Source organism: Homo sapiens, chromosome 7, assembly GCF_000001405.40.
Source record: "Homo sapiens chromosome 7, GRCh38.p14 Primary Assembly".
In the NCBI taxonomy this organism is placed as follows: Eukaryota; Metazoa; Chordata; class Mammalia; order Primates; family Hominidae; genus Homo; species Homo sapiens.
In genome coordinates, this window is record NC_000007.14 from 11,031,566 (window position 1) to 11,050,755 (window position 19,190).

Genomic DNA, 19,190 nt, shown 5'->3' on the forward strand with positions numbered 1-19,190 from the left:
AACATAGCAGGACCCCATCTCTACCAAAAAAAAAAAAAAAAAATTAGCTGGGTGTGATGTTGCCTGTAGTCTGAGCTACTAGAGAGGCCGAGGTGAGAGGATCACATATACCCGGGAGTTTGAGGCTGCATTGAACTATGTTCTCACCACTGCACTCAGCCTGGAGAATAGAGTGAGACCCTACCTCTAAAAATTTTAAATAAATAAGTAAAAAAATACCGAGCTATTGTGCAGGCTCAGTTATGCTGACTACAACTTATGTTACTATGTTTTACATTATATAGTCTAAAGTTACTTATAGTCCAAGTAAGCCATATGGTAGTTTCTTCTGTAATTAAAGTATAATTTGGTGCTATTGAACATTGCTGTACTCTGTTCTGTAGAAAATTATATTTGAAACAATATAAAACCGGGTGTGGTGGCACACGCCTGTAATCCCAGTACTTTGGGAGGCCAAGCCAAGGAGGATCTCTTGAGGCTGGCCTCAAGAGGATTTTGAGATGAGCCTGGGCAACATAGCAAGACCCAATCTCTACACAAAATGTAAAAATTAGCCAGGTGTGGTGGTGTGTGCCTATAGTCCTAACTGCTCAGGAGGCTGAGGTGGGAGGATTGCTGAGCCCAGAAGTTCAAGATTTCATTCTATTAGAGCATATATGGCTGAGGTGGGGTGGACAAGAATATTGATAATGCATAATTAAGAAGATAAGTTTGATATGCCATTAGGTTATTATTGTATTTAAATGTTTCTGGTTTCAGTAAACACATCAATTTTACTATTAAGATACCAGTAAAGCGTAGGTACGTTCTTCAAATACACTGTTTTTACAAGTGCCAGGTAAGGTTCTCAATGTACAAGACCGAAGTTGTGTCTTCTTTCAGTTTATATAACTTTGATCTGCTATGTCAGTTTTACCCAGGGAGCTTTGTTTAAAAAAAAAAAAAAGATTTTAAGATTCTAGACCAAATCATGGCATCTAGAGGACCACAAGCTAAACTTAATCCATAGATGGATTTTGTTTGTTAGGAGTAGAGTTAAAAAAGAAAACCTTGAATTTAAATGACTTTAGATGGGGCATTCCAGTTTGCCACAGGCTCTAAGTTCTCACAGGCCCCAGCATTTACTAACTGCTTCTCATCATTCATTTTTGTCTTATATTTTTCTGGCATCTTTTAGGTCTCCTTCACCCATTTATGTTGACTATTACTGCTTCTCAAGGCATTTGTATTTAAGGCCCTTGCCTCAGCTCTGCTAAGTCAGAATTTGCAGAGTTGGGCTCTAGTTACCTCTATTTAGAAATCTCCTTAAATGAATCTGATGACAGTCAGGTAATGGTTAAGGAAGATGGATCTTACATACTGGACATAGGTCTTGGTTCAGCAACTTAACCTCTCTGGCTTTCAGTTTTCTATCCATAAAATTGATATTAAAATGGTAGAACCCACCTCATGTGGTAGTGGTGAAGGTTAAAGAGATAGTATATACAAAAGCGCATGTGCTTATTTCATGGTAGATATTCAGAAACATGTTTTTCCCTTTCTGTCTTCCACTGGGAGTAGGATCTTGAAAGCTCCATTTCTCCAAGCAGGTTGAAGGGATATTCCATGTCAACCAATGCATTAATTAGGACATTATTTTGACTGGTTTAACAAAACCAAGTAACGAGTTGCTTAAACGAAGAAGTTGAATTCACTCTAATATACAATTCCAGGCGGATTGGATACTGAGGGGAGTTTGGTTCCAGGGATCAGTTCCCTTCTTTCTTCTTGCTTCACCTTCCTTTAGTCTATTGCACTCTCCTACACAGTCAAAGATGGTTTATCACCATCTTGACTGGATTCTTCCTCATTGGAAGTAGCAAAGAGGAGGTTAAGAGTAGGCAGCTTCCTTTCAAGGGCATGGTCTGGGCATTTCATACAACTTATTGGCCAGAACTTAATCACATGGCCACATCTAGCTGTGGGGAGGCTGGATCAGATAGTTTCTAGCAGGGTAGCCATATGCCCAGTAAAAACTCATAGGGGTCTAGTACTAATGGGAAGAATGGATATTGTAAGACAATTAGTAGTTTCTGCCATAGTAAGTATTGGTGTTTTTCTTAAGTCAGAGTCTTGGTCCAAATGCTTAACTCACCTATGCAAGCATGAATCCTATCTCTAATGACTCAATTTCAACCTCATTTACTTTGAAACATTAGAATAATTATCTAGATCTGGGTATTTGGGCTGAGGTTCGGTATAATCTTTATTTCCATTTAACATCTCTGTCACCAAGATTTAGAGCATGTCATGAGAAAGCAGCTGTTTGTATGTGTTAATGTAGTCTCCTAATTAATTTTTGTATTTAATTTTTAAAGCTATATGAAGTAATTGTAAGTAAACCCTGTTTTACTAATGTGGTAACTGAGGCCCAGAGATGTTAAGCAATTTTTTGAAGTCCCATAGCCTGTAAATGATAGAGCCAAGATTTGTATCCGGGTTTTTATGTCTTCAAATTCTGTGATACACATTGCTGTACTGTGACATCTATAGATATCACACTACAGAATTGCCTCATATGCTTTTTTTTTAATATTAAGGACACATTAGATTTTTTTTTCTTTCTGTTCTTATATGTCTCTCCTCGGTAGTGTTGTCATTTCTCTTTGGGTTGTAAAACTCTACTTAGAGACACTTTTGACATAACTTAGAGAAAAACTAATAGCTTATGTTTACTGTTCCTTTTTGGGACAGACATAAAGAATGAACAGCCTGTTGTTTTGTTAGCAATTACATTGTAAATTACTTTTTTGTACTACATCTTTACAAGTTGTTTTTGATAGAATAAATATTCTTTTTTGTACACTACTTTTTATGAATGAAAATGTACTGTTAGGCTATGAGAGAGCTGTAATTCCACTTGAGTTTTTAGGGAAAGAGTTAAGGGCATAACTTAAATTTTTTTATTGACAGGGCTTAGAATTTCTTAATTCTATTTTTTTTTTTTTTTTTTTTTTTTTTTGAGACAGACTGTCGCTCTGTCACCCAGGCTGGAGTGCAGTGGCGCGATCTCGGTTAATTACAACATCTCCCTCCTGTATTCAAGCAATTCTCCTACCTCAGCCTCCTGAGTAGCTGGGATTACAGGCACATGCCACTGTGCCTGGCTAATTTTTGTACTTTTAGTAGAGACAGGCTTTTGCCGTGTTGGCCAGGCTAGTCTCGAACTCCCAACCTCAAGTGATCTGCTTGCCTCGGTCTCCCAAAGTGCTGGGATTACAGGCATGTGCCACCACGCCTGGCCCTTAATTCTATTTTTATCCTCAGTAGAATCTGTCCATTGTTAGCCAGTTAGAAATGCCACACTTATCTTGTTGGCTAGTTGAATGTTGTTGTTTTGCAATATTAGTTTATGCATAACTTTAATATTTAATGATTATTTCTACTTAAGATTATTAAAATCCTATTTGTTTTAAACAGTGACTTTTTAAAAAAATACAGCCGGCCCTCCGTGTCTGTGGATTACACATTCTTAGATTCAACCAACTGCAGATCGAAAATGTTTGAAAAAAAAAAAGCGTAATAAAAAAGAATACAAATATAAAACCAATACAGTGTAACAACTATTTGCACATTTACATTTGTGTATTAGGTATTATAAGTAATGTAGAGACTGCTTAAAATATGTGGGAGAATGCATGTAAACTAGATGCAAATACCACACCATTTAACATAAGACGCTTGAGCATCCACAGATTTTGGTATCCTTGGGGGGTCCTGGAACCAGTCCCCCATGGATATTGAAGGGCTACTATACAAGTACACCCAAATAATACATTATATTTGATTTCAATATCTTTAAACCTGCAGGCCCTTTAAAGAAAAACGTTGTTGGTAATTTGAAGTTGACATACAAGATCAAGTTTCTAAAGAAGTAATTTTTGTCATTATGTACAAAAATTATTTTTGTAATTTATTAGATGTAACTAGCACTAGTAGATTCTTTGAAAAGGAAGTAATATTCTTTTGTGTTAGGTCTTTTATGACTCTTGGGAGTACAAATGTTCACTATTTTTCTGTGCTTTCTTTGTATAGGATATAGCAGATCCATTCTTTGCTTATTGTAAGCAACATGCAGATAGGTTAGACAGAAAGTGGAAGAGAAAAAACTACTTGGCTCTACAGTCCTATTGTAAAATGTCTTTGCAAGAGAGAGAGAAGCAACTATCACCAGAAGCACAGGTATGGGATTCATGTCAAAACCCGTATGTTTTTGTTTTAAGGTTATGTAAGGATTTTACGTCTCGTGTGGCTTCCAGTGACATGTGACGTATAATAGGAAGTTTGGTTAGTTACCTAGGAAATGGATTGTGATTAAGGTAAATAGTGAGTATAATTTTTGGCTGAATACAGTACTCCTCATTTAGTCAAACAGAGCAGTCCTTTATAAAGTAAATTTTCACATTGAAAAATGTGACTGTGAGGAAATTACTCTATCAGTGCAATATATTTATTACATCTTGTTTCAGTTTGTTCAAAGGATTTAGTCAGTTTGCCTATATTTAAAATATAATTTTATATACATTAAACCTATGGAGACAATAGCAGTTATTAAGAAGAGAAACTTCAGCTTAATTAGTTTCTCAAAACTCTGATTATAAGTTAGGACAGTTGTTACTAGGGGCAGATATAGTTTATTGTAACTCAAAAATTATACAGTATACCTTAAGGATCATTCATACCTATAATTTGCTTTGGTGTGAGAAGTTCTGATTATCTTTCTGTGAACATGGGAATAAAAATCAATGTAAAAATCTTAAGGAACATGTTTCATTTTATTATCTTTTAAAATTTGAATACATTTCTTTTATAGGCAAGGATCAATGCCCGGCTTCAGCAGTATCGTGCCAAAGCAGAACTAGCTCGATCTACCAGACCCCAGGCCTGGGTTCCAAGGGAAAAATTGCCCAGACCACTCACCAGCAGTGCTTCAGCTATTCGTAAACTTATGCGGAAAGCAGAACTCATGGGGATCAGTACAGATATCTTTCCAGTGGACAATTCAGATACTAGTTCTAGTGTGGATGGAAGGAGAAAACATAAGCAACCAGCTCTCACTGCAGATTTTGTGAATTATTATTTTGGTCAGTATAGACACTGGTACATGCACATTTTCACTGAGAACAATTTGTTAATGAAAATGTTTGATATACTGTTAATTTTTAGAAATTTATTAGCCATGCTGCATATATCATAGAGGGATGTTTATTTTCCTAATATGTTGTGGGTTTTTACAAAATGCTAGGTTCATTTATTTGTAAATATACTTAAAAGTTTTAAACTATGTAGGTTTATCAATGTGATCATCTTTATAGCTAGTTTCTTCCTATGTCAGTTTTTACTTCCTACTAAAGTAAAATTCGATATTTCATTTAAATAGAGAGAAATATGCGCATGATTCAAATTCAGGAAAATATGGCTGAACAAAAGAATATAAAAGATAAATTAGAGAATGAACAAGAAAAGCTTCATGTAGAATATAATAAGGTAAGTTAGCTACAAAATATGCAACATAATGTGATAGATCTTACTGATGATTTCTTTTGTGAATGTATGGCATTTCTTTTATGTTTTGTTTTTAATTTCTTCTGGAGCTCTTTGGCTCTTCCCTATAACTCCTACTCCTCATTAGCTTCATTATCATCACTGTCTCTTACTGAGCACTTTGTGTGCCAGGCATAATTTTGATCTCTTTACATGTATTATTTAATTCCCAGCTTAACTTTATAGTGTAGGTTATAATCATTGCTTCCATTTTCAGGGAGAAAACTGAATCCTGAAGAAGTTAAATAATTTGCCCAGGTTCACACAAGTAGTCAAGTCACAGACTTGACAAATGAAGTCAGTTGGTGTGAGGCCAACTCATGTGACTCTGTTCTCTATTTCTAATCAATAAACATTGCTATAGAGCTTCACTTTCTAAGTTTGTAGAAAATTTAGAAACTTTTCTTTAAATTATTATTTATCTTGAATTATATTATAATGTTTGGAATAAAAATTTCCAAATTTGAATTTTCATGTACCTCTTCATCGTAATGAGAAAAGATTCAAAAAGAAGTATCTTATAAAAGCAAAATGTGGTTAAAATGTTATACCAAGTATAACTTGACATATAAAACGGGTATTGACTTATTGTTAGAAAACATTTTAAGTCATAAAAAAATAGTAGGAAGTACGTTTCCAATAATCAGCTACACTGTGTAGTAAAAAGAGTACTTGGAATTAGATTCAGAGGACCTGGGGATTCTTGCTAGTTCTGTGATCTTGGCCAACTCACAAAAACTCTATGATCCTTAGTTTTTTTCATTGGGAAAATAGTGGAAATACATCTTGAGAGAGTCACAAGGATTAGTTAGCAGAACATGATGTTATATAACAAACTGTAAAAGAAGGTATAAACGTAGTTACCATTATTAGTAAAAATGCCAGCAGAAAACAAAATGCTTACAGCAACAAATACTGCTGAATAATTGGATAGCCTTGTCTCTCAGTGGTATTGTGGCTTGAATATATTAAAAATATATGGAGGCCGAGCGCAGTGGCTCATGCCTGTAATCCCAGCACTTTGGGAGGCCAAGGCAGGTGGATCACGAGGTCAAGAGATCGAGACCATCCTAGGAGTTTGAGACCAGCCTGGCCAACATGGCAAAACCCCGTCTCTACTAAAAATACAAAAGTTAGCTGGGCGTGGTGGAGGGTGCCTGTAATCCCAGCTACTCGAGAGGCTGAGGCAGGAGAATTGCTTGAACCCAGGAGGTGGTGGTTGCAGTGACACAAGATCGTGCTACTGCACTCTAGCCTGGGCGACAGAGTGAGACTCCATCTCAAAAAAAAAAAAAAAAAAATAGATCGAGACCATCCTGGCCAACATGGTGAAACCCTGTCTCTACTAAAAATACAAAAATTAGCTGGATGTGGTGGTGCACACCTGTAGTCCCACCTACTCGGGAAACTGCAGCAGGAGAATCGCTTGAACCCCAGAGGCGGAGGTTGTAGTGAGCCGAAATCGTGTCACCGCACTCCAGCCTGGTGACAGAGTGAGACTCTGTCTCAAAAAAAAAAAAAATTATATATATATATGTGGAATAGAAATGTAGATATTTCTTAAATTGTCAGATATTTTAATGAAGTTTACTAATTTGGCTTACTTTGTAGCTATGTGAATCTTTAGAAGAACTACAAAACCTGAATGGAAAACTTCGAAGTGAAGGACAAGGAATATGGGCTTTACTAGGCAGAATCACAGGGCAGGTTAGTTTCTTTCCAATTGCTGTCTCCTTCAGTTCTTGCTCCCTATATGATTTTCAAAGAACAGATTTTTGATACAACTGTCATTTGACTAACCGAAGAATTCTGTTTGATCAGGGCCTAATCCTTTGGGATAATGATTTCTGCTTGAAATACACCTAGAGCATTGGAAGCTGCCTACTGAGAACCTCTAGTTTAATTTGGTTGTTTCAACAGCTATCTTGTGTGCAAAATTTTTTCATTTGCTCTAACTGATTGACCTGTCATTTGTGATGAAGCTTAAGACTTGAAGCATGAGTTTTTCCTACTACATTCTTCTTTCCTTTAATTTAGCAGTTTTAGATTCCCTGCCACATTTTTTTCTTTCCTGTCCTTATGCTGTATTTTTTTTTCTATTCTTTGGATGTATAATTTAAAATTAAAAAAGGCAAACTAGAGATATTCATTTTTATGTTAATTTGGTTTTCAGCTGTATAAGAGATGGTTTTTTAAACTTTAATGTTAAAATGTATTTTTCCCCTTTAACAGTAGCTGTGATCGTAGTTATTAAAAAAAACTTTATTCATGAACACCTTTAGTCTGTTAAAGTTTTTGGTGTTGAATAATTATTGTTAGATGGATTTCTTTGAATGCCTTTTTTAGTACTGTGTATATAATTGATAAATTACAGTTTTCGCAAATATTTTTTATTTTTTAAGGATGATGGAGACCCACTGTTTGTGGTCCTTTCACTAAAAAGTAGTTTTATTTGTGAAGGAGCTTTTCGAACAGATATTTTTCATTATACTTGTTTTAGAGGTTTATGGAGAGTCAAATTCATCACACAGCTTATTTAAATATTTTAAGAAGTGATACATACTGATTTGTACTGTGCTATACCAGCTTTGAAGATGCTTTATGTGAAAAGAATGTGTGTGGCTTGTATCCTAAAGAATGTTTTAAAAGGTGAGAATTAGTAGTCGCCTCTGGGAGGATCAGCCTTTGTTCCTGTTAATAGGTTGGTTGATGGATTTTTGGAAGATTATGTTTTATACTTAATATTTAGAGGAGTTAATGTTGAGTATAAGGCTTTAGTTTATTTGCCAAGCTAGCATTATCTTTTGGCTTGATTTGCAAGTTTTTCTCATAAGAATCTCCTGTTTAAAATACTATCTACCATAAAAGACATTTTCATTTATTAAAAGACTTTTAACAGAGGTTTGCAAATTTCCTTTTGCAAATGTAAAATACACAGCAGAAGTAGAATTCATTTATACTGCTTGCATGACACTTTTTTTTTCAGTTGGTTGAACAGATGTGGGCCCACCAGGCCACTGAGAAATGACTTTGATAGATGGTTGCTGTCTGAGAAGCCAGCATACTACAGATTAGTAGAAACCCAAAGAGAATCTCACTTGCTTTGTTGGAGAGTTTGGTCCAATAAGATAATTTTTCTAATTAACCTATGGAACACCAATATAGCTGGGGTGCTGAAGAAAATAAATGGCCTCAATATTCTTTTTGTCAAGTGTACTGTGTTTTGTTTTTTTTAAACCTCCTACGTATGTGTCTTTGTCTTTGAAAGCTGAAATAGAAGTTTAATTTTTATGTTTTAGTGTACCACTGAAAATTGATGAAAGTCTGTAATTATAGATTTCTAATGGAAATAACTATTAGAAAAAAGCTCATTTTAATCCTTTTTGCCAATGTAAAATCTGATAAAGCAGATTTCCCCCTAACAATCCTACTATATTTACTTGGCTTGAGTGGCAATTAGAGGAAAATGTTGCTTTTATTTCTTTCTTAAAACAATATATACTACATTTGTTCAAATCAATAGAAGTTGAATATACCGGCAATTTTGCGAGCACCCAAGGAGAGAAAACCAAGTAAAAAAGAAGGAGGCACACAAAAGACATCTACTCTTCCTGCAGTACTTTATAGGCAAGTAATGAAATTAATAATGATAGAATAATGTTGTGTATTTTTTTAAACTGATACTTATTAGAAAGAAGATCCTGCAAATATTTGAGAATGAATTATGTCCATACCAGAATTTAAGTGCATTTGAAGTTCATTTTCTCAAAAGATGCATTCCAGTTTGAATGATAGAGGAGATTTTTGTTGCTGTTTTAACCTAAACTCTATGGAAATGAGCAGTACCCTTTGGGGAACTGGAAAATTACTTTAGATAACATTATAGTTATTGTCTTAAATAATTTAAACAATATAAAAGATGAGCATTTATATTTTATTTTACTTGAATGAATTGTAGAGTTTGTTTTTTAGATAGTGATGGGTATCATATATGTATATATATAGAATGAATCTATTGCCTTTGTAGGCAGTGGATAATGAAGATAAGTTTTAGTTTTGAGTTTCTACACTTTTTTTCTCTTGATGCTCAGTTGCAATCACTTTGTTCGCATAAGTATTTTTGTTTTTTACTTTCTTTGCTCAATATTTTCGGTGTTCACCATTATAGTAATTTTATTATAGTCAAGACTTCTTTCCATAAATAAATAGGTTACGATCTCACTTTTTCCCAAATAATTATATTAAGTGGGAGAAGTTTAGAAGATGCTGGTGTTTTTGTGTGTGTGTGTGTGTGTATGTATGTGTGTGTATATTTATCTATGTATATGCATACATATATGTTATGCATGTGTAAATACATAAATATTCTTCTCAAAATTTCTTTCTCAGAAATAGTAGCAATAACAACAATATCAATCTCCATAACTACCTTCTGTTTTTTTGTTGGAGGCTCCCTCTACAAGTAATAGCAAATAACTTCCTTGAAGTGTGGGAAAAGCCTACATTGTCTTAGTGTACAATGTGAACATTAGCACATTCTCAGGCCAGCTTTTTCAAACACGGTTGGTTCATTTGGAACCATCAGGCAATATCACTATGCTTCTGACTTTTATGACTACAATTCATTTTTGTTTCAGAATATATTTTAAGTGATTTTTCTTTTTTACTGAGACCAGGTACTGGTTATTTATTTATTTATTTTGGCTTTTTAAGTGTGTGTGTGTGTGTGTGACTTTTTTCTAGGAGTATTTAAAAAAAAAACCTAACCATCATTGCTTTCTGTACTTTCCAAATATAAATATACTTTAGATTTTCAGGTGATGGTGCTTGTGTACGCAGGTGTAGTTAAATTGCCTTTTTGCATAAGAGAAGTTAGATTTCTGAGAAACCAAAAGATCCTAAAATAATAGTAGCAATCACAAAATTCCACAATCTTTGCAATAAATATCAATTGATGTGTGCGTTTTTAATTTTTTTACTTTTGAATTTAATTAGTATATTTTTAAAACGCAAAATTCAGTATTGAAAAGAGACTCATGTATACTTGCAGTATATCTACATGTTGAAGACTGTTTGAAAGGTTTACAACTAATGGTAGGAAATAAACTACCTTCTGTTTGTGAAGTAATTTTTTTATAGTTTTAGAAAATTGGAAAATTACTTTGTTCTATAATTTATGTGTCTAGAGAAAAAATGAACTAATGTGAAATGGGTTTTAAGTAATAACTAAAATTAAAATGAATATGATGTTGAGGATAAATACCTTATATATGTAATTCTTTAGAAGGTTTGACTCTAGTAGTATTTAAATTTTTACCAGATCCAAGCTATTTTTAACATTCTCAAAAGTATTTAGAACTAACAGTTACTGACATTGTAAAAAGATGTGTTAATGAAAGAAATTGTCTATCTCAACAGAAGAAATAGTAAGTTAAATCAAGATGAAATTTTGTAAGTTGAAAAATATGCTATAAGTAAACTGTTTCACTATGATAATTATTATTGAAATCTTTACTTGCTGCCTTTATTAAAAGTTGTGGGATTTGTAAGAAGAACCATGATCAGCATCTTCTTTTATTGTGTGATACCTGTAAACTACATTACCATCTTGGATGTCTGGATCCTCCTCTTACAAGGATGCCAAGAAAGACCAAAAACAGTTATTGGTGAGTAAAATAGAGGAGATTTAGATGTTTGAATTGATTTACTCTTAGTTTCAGCAGTATAAGATGAAATACTATATTTGTTCATAATAAAGTATTTGGCACATTTTAAAATTGACTGTCATCAATATTTATTATAGCATTATGTGACTAAATCTATAACAGCTTTTTTGAGAAATGAGTTTTTCATTAATTGTGGCTATTATCTTAGCAATAGATTCTTCTTTAAGGCATGAATTCTGTCCATTGCTTATAATTCTCTTGTTTTATTGTTCAGAATTTCTCAAATGCTTTATTGTTATTTTGAAATTGAATTTATCTAAAATTTGCCATCATATTATGCTTTTACTTGCAATTTAATATTTTATTTTTGGATTAGAGTCAAAGGCTTTACTTCTGGTATTTGGTATTTGTGCTAGTCATTTAAATTCAACCATTCTTTGACATCTAGAAACATTTGATAAACATTTCTGATTTTTTTTTTTATTAACTTAGGCATATCGAATCACTACATTTGATAAAGGTTATAGTATCTATAATGAGTTTTATCCTTTTCTTAATTTTACTCCAAGAAAGGGACAGATGTTCAGATTTTAATAGAATGATTTCTCATAGGAAGGAGAATATAGGAAAAGGAAAACTTTGGAATGAACATGAATATTCTTTTTATACAAGTTACCTTTCCAGTTTTAGAAAAGAGTGAACCCCAAATTTTTAAATGGTAATCTCTACAAGAGGTTGTGTGTGTTCCTCAAATACATTAGGCATATTTTTTGACCTCATTGTTTTATCACTTAAGGCTACCTCTGTTCATTTGATTAGGAAGCTGAAATTTTTTCACTATTTTCACATGATTGCTTTTTTATAGTGTTCTTTGTATCAGTTTGTTTTGAGATATTCATACTGGCCTGTTCTTTTGAAATGCAGTGGAATGTATTTATTATGGTTTTTATGTGCTTCAGAAACTGCTATAGCATATTCAAATCCCAACAATGTTAATAAGCATCCTGGGTGAGTTTTTAAATTGAAAGCTAGTTTGATAGTCTCCAGAGCCAGGATGTTTTGCCATGAACTTATATAGAGTTATGCAGTTCTCTCCTTAAATGAAGTTATGGACCCTCCTGATACTGCTCAGCCTGCAGAGCTCTGGTTTCCAGCATGTGAGAGTTTCTGCAGCTAAAAAAAAACACACACAAAAAAAGGGAAATCATGTTCTTTGTAGCAACAAGGAGGCAGCTGGAGGCCATTATACTCAGTGAATTAACCCAGGAAAAGAAAACCAAATACTGCATGTTCTCACTTACAGGTGGAAGCTAAACACTGGATAGTCATGGACATAAAGATGGGGCCTACTAGAATGGGGAGGGAGGGGAGCAAGGTTTGAAAAACTGTTGGGTAGTATACTCACTACCTGGGTGATAGGGATCATTCATATTCCAAACCTCAGTATCATGCAGTATACCCATGTAACAAACCTGTGCATATACCCCCTGATCTAAAATAAAAGTTGAAATTAAAAAAAAAAGAAAAGAAGTAATGTACATAGCCTGAGGTGTTTTAGTGAGAGCACTTCTAAAAGGGCGTAAACAACTTAGAGCCTTTTCATTGTTGTTAGTGGTTTTTAAGTAAAAGTAGAAGTTAATGTTGTAGCACAGTGAAGCCTTTAATTTCTCCTTGTTTCTAGTGATAACATTTCCTTTGGCCTCTAAGATCAACTTAGCTTTGGTTAGCAGTTAACTGGGTGTATTAATTTTGGAGTGTGCAAGATTCAGAGAATTGTTTTTTCTTTAGTGTACCTCAAATGTGGGAGGCAGTTTTTACTTTTTGCTTTTTAACATTTTCAGTTTATTTTTGAAGTTATACTAAAGATAATAAATACTCAAAACTTAACACTTTCTAAATATTTTGTCACATTTTACTATTATCTATGCTCTAGAGGTTATTTAAGTCTATTGCATCTGGATGGTAGAAAAAAAATGATAAACGCAGGTTGAGTATCCCTTATCCAAAGTGCTGGGGACCAGAAGTGATTTGGATTTTGTTTTTGTATTTGTTTTGGAATATTTGCATTGTACCTACTGGTCGAGTATCCCAAATCTGAAAATCTGAAATCTGCAATGCTCCAATGAACATTTTCTTTGACTGTAATGTCAGTGCTCAAAAAACATTTGGATTTTGGAGCACTTCAGATTTTGGATTTTTGGATTTGGGATGCTCAACCTATGATAGTTGCTACTACACACCCTTTTCCCCATCCTACATTCTGTGATGCCATGTTGATAATTTGAAATTGAAATTGCCATAGTTAGGAGTATTTGTACTGTAGAAATTACTAAATACTACATAACAGGGCTTTCCCCCAGAGGGTCAAGTGTTAGACATTTACTAGCATATCACTGACTGATGTCTGCTTTAGACTCTACCTTGTTCTTACTAGTCCTTTCATTAGGGAAAGGGTCCTTTAATTTCTCCTTGTTTCTAGTGATCAAATTTCCTTTGATCACTAGGGTCCTGTTACTGGACTCTTATTTCATGACTGTGCCTTAGTCTGCAGCTTGAACTTCCACAGGTCCCTCTGGTATAATATTTCTGAATGGCCGGTTTATTTTTGCTGTCTTTATGTTTTGCAAGCCTGTGGTAGCACCCTTACTACTAAATACCCTGTAAGCAAACTGTACCTAGAATTAATTACTATACAATCTGTTGCCTTCTCAGATATCATATTCTACTCTAATAACTATTTTAAGCACTTGCTATCCAGCCTTTTCTTCCAGTACCAGCACTGTTTTCAAGGAGACACTAGTTCTAGATTTGGATGCTTTCTTCAGTCCATCCCAGAGTTCTGTGGACTGTGCTGGGCAGGTTAAGACATGTGACATCAAAGAAAAGATGGATACAGATACAGAAGTAATTATTGGTGGAAGGTAGGGAAGTTGAGTGAATTCACCTTGGACAGGCTCAGATATTTCAGTGATATAGGAGTCTGTTGAGAGGGAAGAGACCTGGGATGATGATGGGCTCTTGAGAAGACAGCAGATGGTTGGTAACAACTTACTGTGGAAAAATCAAACTGACTTGCTGAGGCTGTGTAGCAAGAATGTTTAGTGCATAAGTAAATGTGATTATTTGATTTTTCTTGAATTATGCTCTGCTGCCCAGGAGAAGGAGAGGGGAAAACCTAGGGGCTTCTTAGGTTGGGCCAGGGATGTGAAAAGCTAGTAAAGAATATTATTAATAGGTGGGTGAAGAATTCCACAGAGAATAGAGAGGCTAGTGATGGTGTGATCTAGGTTCTATTTTGTTTGTACCTCTTTCTAGTATTTAAAATGCATTTTGTCTCATTTTTAGTTTATGTTATTTTGATTTTTGTTGTTGTTTTTAAAAATGTACAATCTCCACACTGCCTTAAATTCTAAGACACATTTGGTAGGATACAAATGGTAAGGGCTTGATTTATTAGAGTAGTTCAAATAGTTAATCATCTCTTAATTTTAGAAGACTAATGTTATATTTCTGCCTCCACTCATCTGATTGGAACTTGTGTTGCCTTTTCCAATTGTTTGAAGAATATTCTGAAACACATTATTTAACAGAGAATTGAGTAATATATCCTTTTATTCCTTGGATATGTCTTTATTTTATGATGAAAAGAAAACTCAAACCCTTCTAGGAATAGTTTACAGAGGGTTTTTTCCTTTGTTTTTCTTGATAATTTGTTCATTTACATTTTTTTATTGCCTCTTCTTCCCATTAACCGCTAGTAGGAATTCCAGCATTAGAATGGGACATTTACTGTATATGAAATAACAGGTATATATCTGCTATTAAAGTTTTTACAGGTATTATAACTACAAAAAGAATAAAATTTACAAGTTGAGTTAAATGTTGTTTTCTGCCCTTCAAAGAGATACCCATAATGCAGAAGTAGGAGGGACTGAGGTATTACTTGTCTGAGAAGAATGATATTTGAGCCACCTCTTAAAGTTTTATGTAGGCACCTGTCAAGACTTTCCTCTAAATACAGGAGAAAACATGGCTAACGGCTTAGACATAAGAAAAAAAAAAACTCTGGTGTGGGATCCTGAGTTCTTGATGACTGAAAAAGATAAATTGTGGAGGAGAAAAAAGTAAATCATGAATTATTTGGAATATGGAATGTTACTGGATTTATTTATTGCATTATTGCATTTAAAGATTCATAAAATCCTTTTTTTTTTTAACTTACACGAATAAAATTCTCTAAATTAGTCCACTTTCTTTTTTTTTTCTTTTTTTGAGATGGAGTCTCGCTCTGTCACCCAGGCTGGGGTGCAGTGGCACAATCGCAACTCACCGCAACTTCTGCCTCCTGGGTGCAAGCAATTCTCCTGCCTCAGCCTCCCGAGTACCTGGGACTACAGGCGCGTGCCACCACGCCCAGCTAATTTTTTGTATTTTTAGTAGAGATGGGGTTTCACCGTGTTAGCCAGAATGGTCTCGATCTCCTGACCTCATGATCCGCCTGCCTTGGCCTCCCAAAGTGCTGGATTACAGGCGTGAGCTACTGTGCCTGGCTTAAATTAGTACACTTTCTTGTCTAAGCACTATTAAACATTTTTCTTTAGTAACTAAGATTCTGAAATTCCATTGGGTCATCATTCTGATTATAGGTTGTAGTTGTATGGTGCTAGAAACATATAGAAGGTATAGAAAATTGAGAAAAGGCCAGACGCAGTGGCTCATGTCTGTAATCCCAGCACTTTGGGAGGCTGAGGCGGGCGGATCACTTGAGGTCAGGAGTTCAAGACCAACATGATGAAACCCTGTCTCTACTAAAAATACAAAAATTAGCTAGGAATGGTGATGGGGATTCGTAATCCCTGCTACTCAGGAGGCTGAGGTAGAGAATTGCTTAAACCTGGGAGGCTGAGGCTACAATGAGCTGAGATTGCGCCAGTGCTCTCCAATCTGGGTGACAGAGTGAGACTCTGTCTCACAAAAAGACAGAAGAAGAGGAGGGAGGGCAGGAGGGAGGGAAAGAAGGAAGGAAAGAAGGGAGGGAGGGAGGGCGGGAAAAAGAGAGGAAGGAAGGGAGGAAAGAAGGGAGGGAGGAAGGAAGGAAAGGAAGGGAAGGGAGAGGGAGGGGGAGGGAGAGGGAGGGAGGGGGAGGGAGGAAGGGAAAAGAGAAAAACCTCTTGGTATTTCAACATGAAAGTTATTCTGTTGCATAAATTCCTGACATGGATTTTTATTATACTTTAAATTTTTAATTGGCTTGGATCAATTAAAAGGTTAAGATTATCTTCAGTATTGTCCATGGGAATTATAAATTTTAGGACTCTATTCTCATACAGTGTGCTAAGTAAAAATATATAGAATTAAGGTGAGTTTAGCTAAATTAATAGATAATAGCAGTTTAGTGGATTATTGAAAGAAGCCAGGTATGTATTTGACTTTAGGAAAGATAATCATGATTTTCCTTAAAATATTATTTGATTTCAGCTGGGCGTGGTGGCTCACGCCTGAAATCTCAGCACTTTGGGGAGGGCGGGGCAGGTGGATCACGAGGTCAGGAGTTCAAGACCAGCCTGGCCAACATGGTGAAACCCCATCTGTACTAAAAATACAAAAATTAGCCAGGCATGGTGGCAGGCACCTGTAATCCCAGCTACTCGGGAGGCTGAGGCAGAGAATTGCTTGAACCCGGGAGATGGAGGTTACAGTGAGCCTTAGATCATGCCACTGCACTCCAGCCTTGGCAATAGTGCAAGACTCTGTCTGAAAACAAAGAAAAAATAATTATTTGATTTCATTGAATTAGACAGGCCATGGCTTTATTCTAGGTTATTATTTCTTACCATCTTGTGTACCAATTAATGTAGCAGAAACATTTTTTACATATCTTAAAGGATATTTATAAGATGAAGACTATAGTGTTTAATAGATTGTTGAAGAATGGCTAAGAAGTATTATGTCCATAATACTCTTGTAGTCTACTCAGTGTGGACTCTATCTACTGCAACAATCATGTGGCGGTTGTCTTGAAATAGGAATGGATATATTCTGCATTGGCAGTTACATTTGTTTTGATTTTTTGAGTTGTTCCGTGTTTTGTGGTGTTCAGGGTGTAACATTTCTATTTTCTGGGAATTAGCCAAATTTCTTTGTCACCTAACTATTATTTATAGTGGGGATGGAAGTGAACATAAGAATAAAGAATGTCCTGACAAGGGTAATTGCTACCAAAAGAGAAGCGAAGAGGAAATATTTCAGTTTTTAAAACAAAACAAAACAATGATTTATCTGAAAAGGTACCTGCTTCTATACCTAGGGGATTTAGATAACATTATGTTTGCCTGTTATTTAAGTAGACAAACAACATATTTTAAAAGTAAATTAGAGCCTGGCGCGGTGGCTCACACCTGTAATCCCAGCACTTTGGAAGGCTGAGGCGGGAGGATCACCTGAGGTCAGGAGTTTGAGACCAGCTTGGCCAACATATAGTGAAACCCTGTCTCTACTAAAAAATCCAAAATTAACTGTGCGTGGTGGCACACACCTGTAGTCCCAGCTACTTAGGAAGCTGAGGCAGGAGAATCGCTTGAATGGGGAAGGTGGAGGTTGCAGTGAGCCGAGATCGTGCCACTGGACTCCAGCCTGGGCGACTTAGCAAGACTGTCTCTCAAAAAAAAAAAAAAAAAAAGTGTAAATTAGAACTGTTTGAGAAACTGACTACATTTCACTCAACTGATAGAAATGATCAGTTAGCATTAAGATTACAATTTAATGCTGAAAAGTGAAGCAGTGTGCCTTTTTGTAATATAATATGATAATTTCTCTAGTCATCTGTTTTGAAGGCTGTTGCATTTATTATTAGTTAACTAACAATATCTAACATTTCTGGGGTTTTCACAGTTCTGCTAATAAAGTCAGAATATACTTATCATTTCAATTCTGAGATTCTGTAAGGTGTGTATTTTCTTTTGCCAGTCCTTGATGTTTTCATATGGGACAAATGCAGGAGCAATTTAATATATTCGTTTAGTTGTGTCTTTGTTAATGATGGTAATCTGACAACCTAGGGGATAACCTGCCAGCTATATTTACATGAAGTGTAGCAATAGATACATAAAAGTTTTCTGAGTAATACATGATTATGTACATTTTTGTTTTGCTTTCACTGATCAGTATTTCTAGTGCTCAAAGTTTTGCTAACCTATTCTTAAATAATTGGAAATTTTAAGATATTTAAATTAATACGTTAAGGATTAATTTGTATTTTAGTAATAATATGTTTGCATTAACAAAACAAATGGTACTTGGTATTTAACTCTTGTTGGAGTTCAAAATTTAAAGCTGTCACTTTGACAATTAAATATTAGTTTAATAAGTTCACAGTATTAGTGAAAGATGTGAATTTTGATGGAACGAAATCAAATCATAAATCTTTGAAAATACTTGCTATGAGAATTATAAGCTACATTCAAAGATACTGATATAAACATATAAACTAAATATCAAATACAATTTTACAGATTATAATCATTTTTATTAAGAGAATACTATCAAACTTTTGGAGAATTTGCTTTTGATCATTCTTTTACATTTGAAGAAAATATGAGTAAAAATTTACTTTTAACAACTGGTTTTAACTTTTTGAAATGGTCCTTTATGATTGACAATATAAAGATTTCCAGCAGTTGTTGTTTAGATTTCTGCTGTCTAAATGTTAGCCACTAGCCACATATGGCTATTTAAATTTAAATCAATTAATATTAAAATGAGAAATTTTCTCAGTGGTATTTGCCACATTTCAAGTGCTCAGTAACCATCTATGGCTAGTGGCCACTGTTCTGGACAGCACAGATATGTAGATAATCCTAATATTATAAAAAGTTCTGTTGGATACCACTTGTCTAAAGTTTTAGTTTCAATTAATTTTTAATATTACCCATATTAAAATTC

General features: G+C 34.7%; 1 protein-coding gene across 4 annotated transcripts in view; it reads left to right on the top strand.

Annotated features, from left to right (window-relative positions):
• PHF14 (PHD finger protein 14) overlaps nucleotides 1-19,190 on the top strand; it is a 195,747-nt gene that overhangs the window by 57,694 nt on the left and 118,863 nt on the right. For all 4 annotated transcript variants that reach the window (NR_033436.2, NR_033435.2, NM_001007157.2 and 1 more), the window contains 6 exons: nucleotides 4,075-4,221; nucleotides 4,853-5,123; nucleotides 5,420-5,526; nucleotides 7,195-7,290; nucleotides 9,107-9,210; nucleotides 11,118-11,249. Coding sequence is in view for 2 of the 4 variants with exons in the window: in NM_001007157.2 (NP_001007158.1) it covers nucleotides 4,075-4,221; nucleotides 4,853-5,123; nucleotides 5,420-5,526; nucleotides 7,195-7,290; nucleotides 9,107-9,210; nucleotides 11,118-11,249 (857 nt within the window). In the remaining 2 variants the exon portion in view is untranslated. The remainder of the gene's footprint in view (nucleotides 1-4,074; nucleotides 4,222-4,852; nucleotides 5,124-5,419; nucleotides 5,527-7,194; nucleotides 7,291-9,106; nucleotides 9,211-11,117; nucleotides 11,250-19,190) is intronic.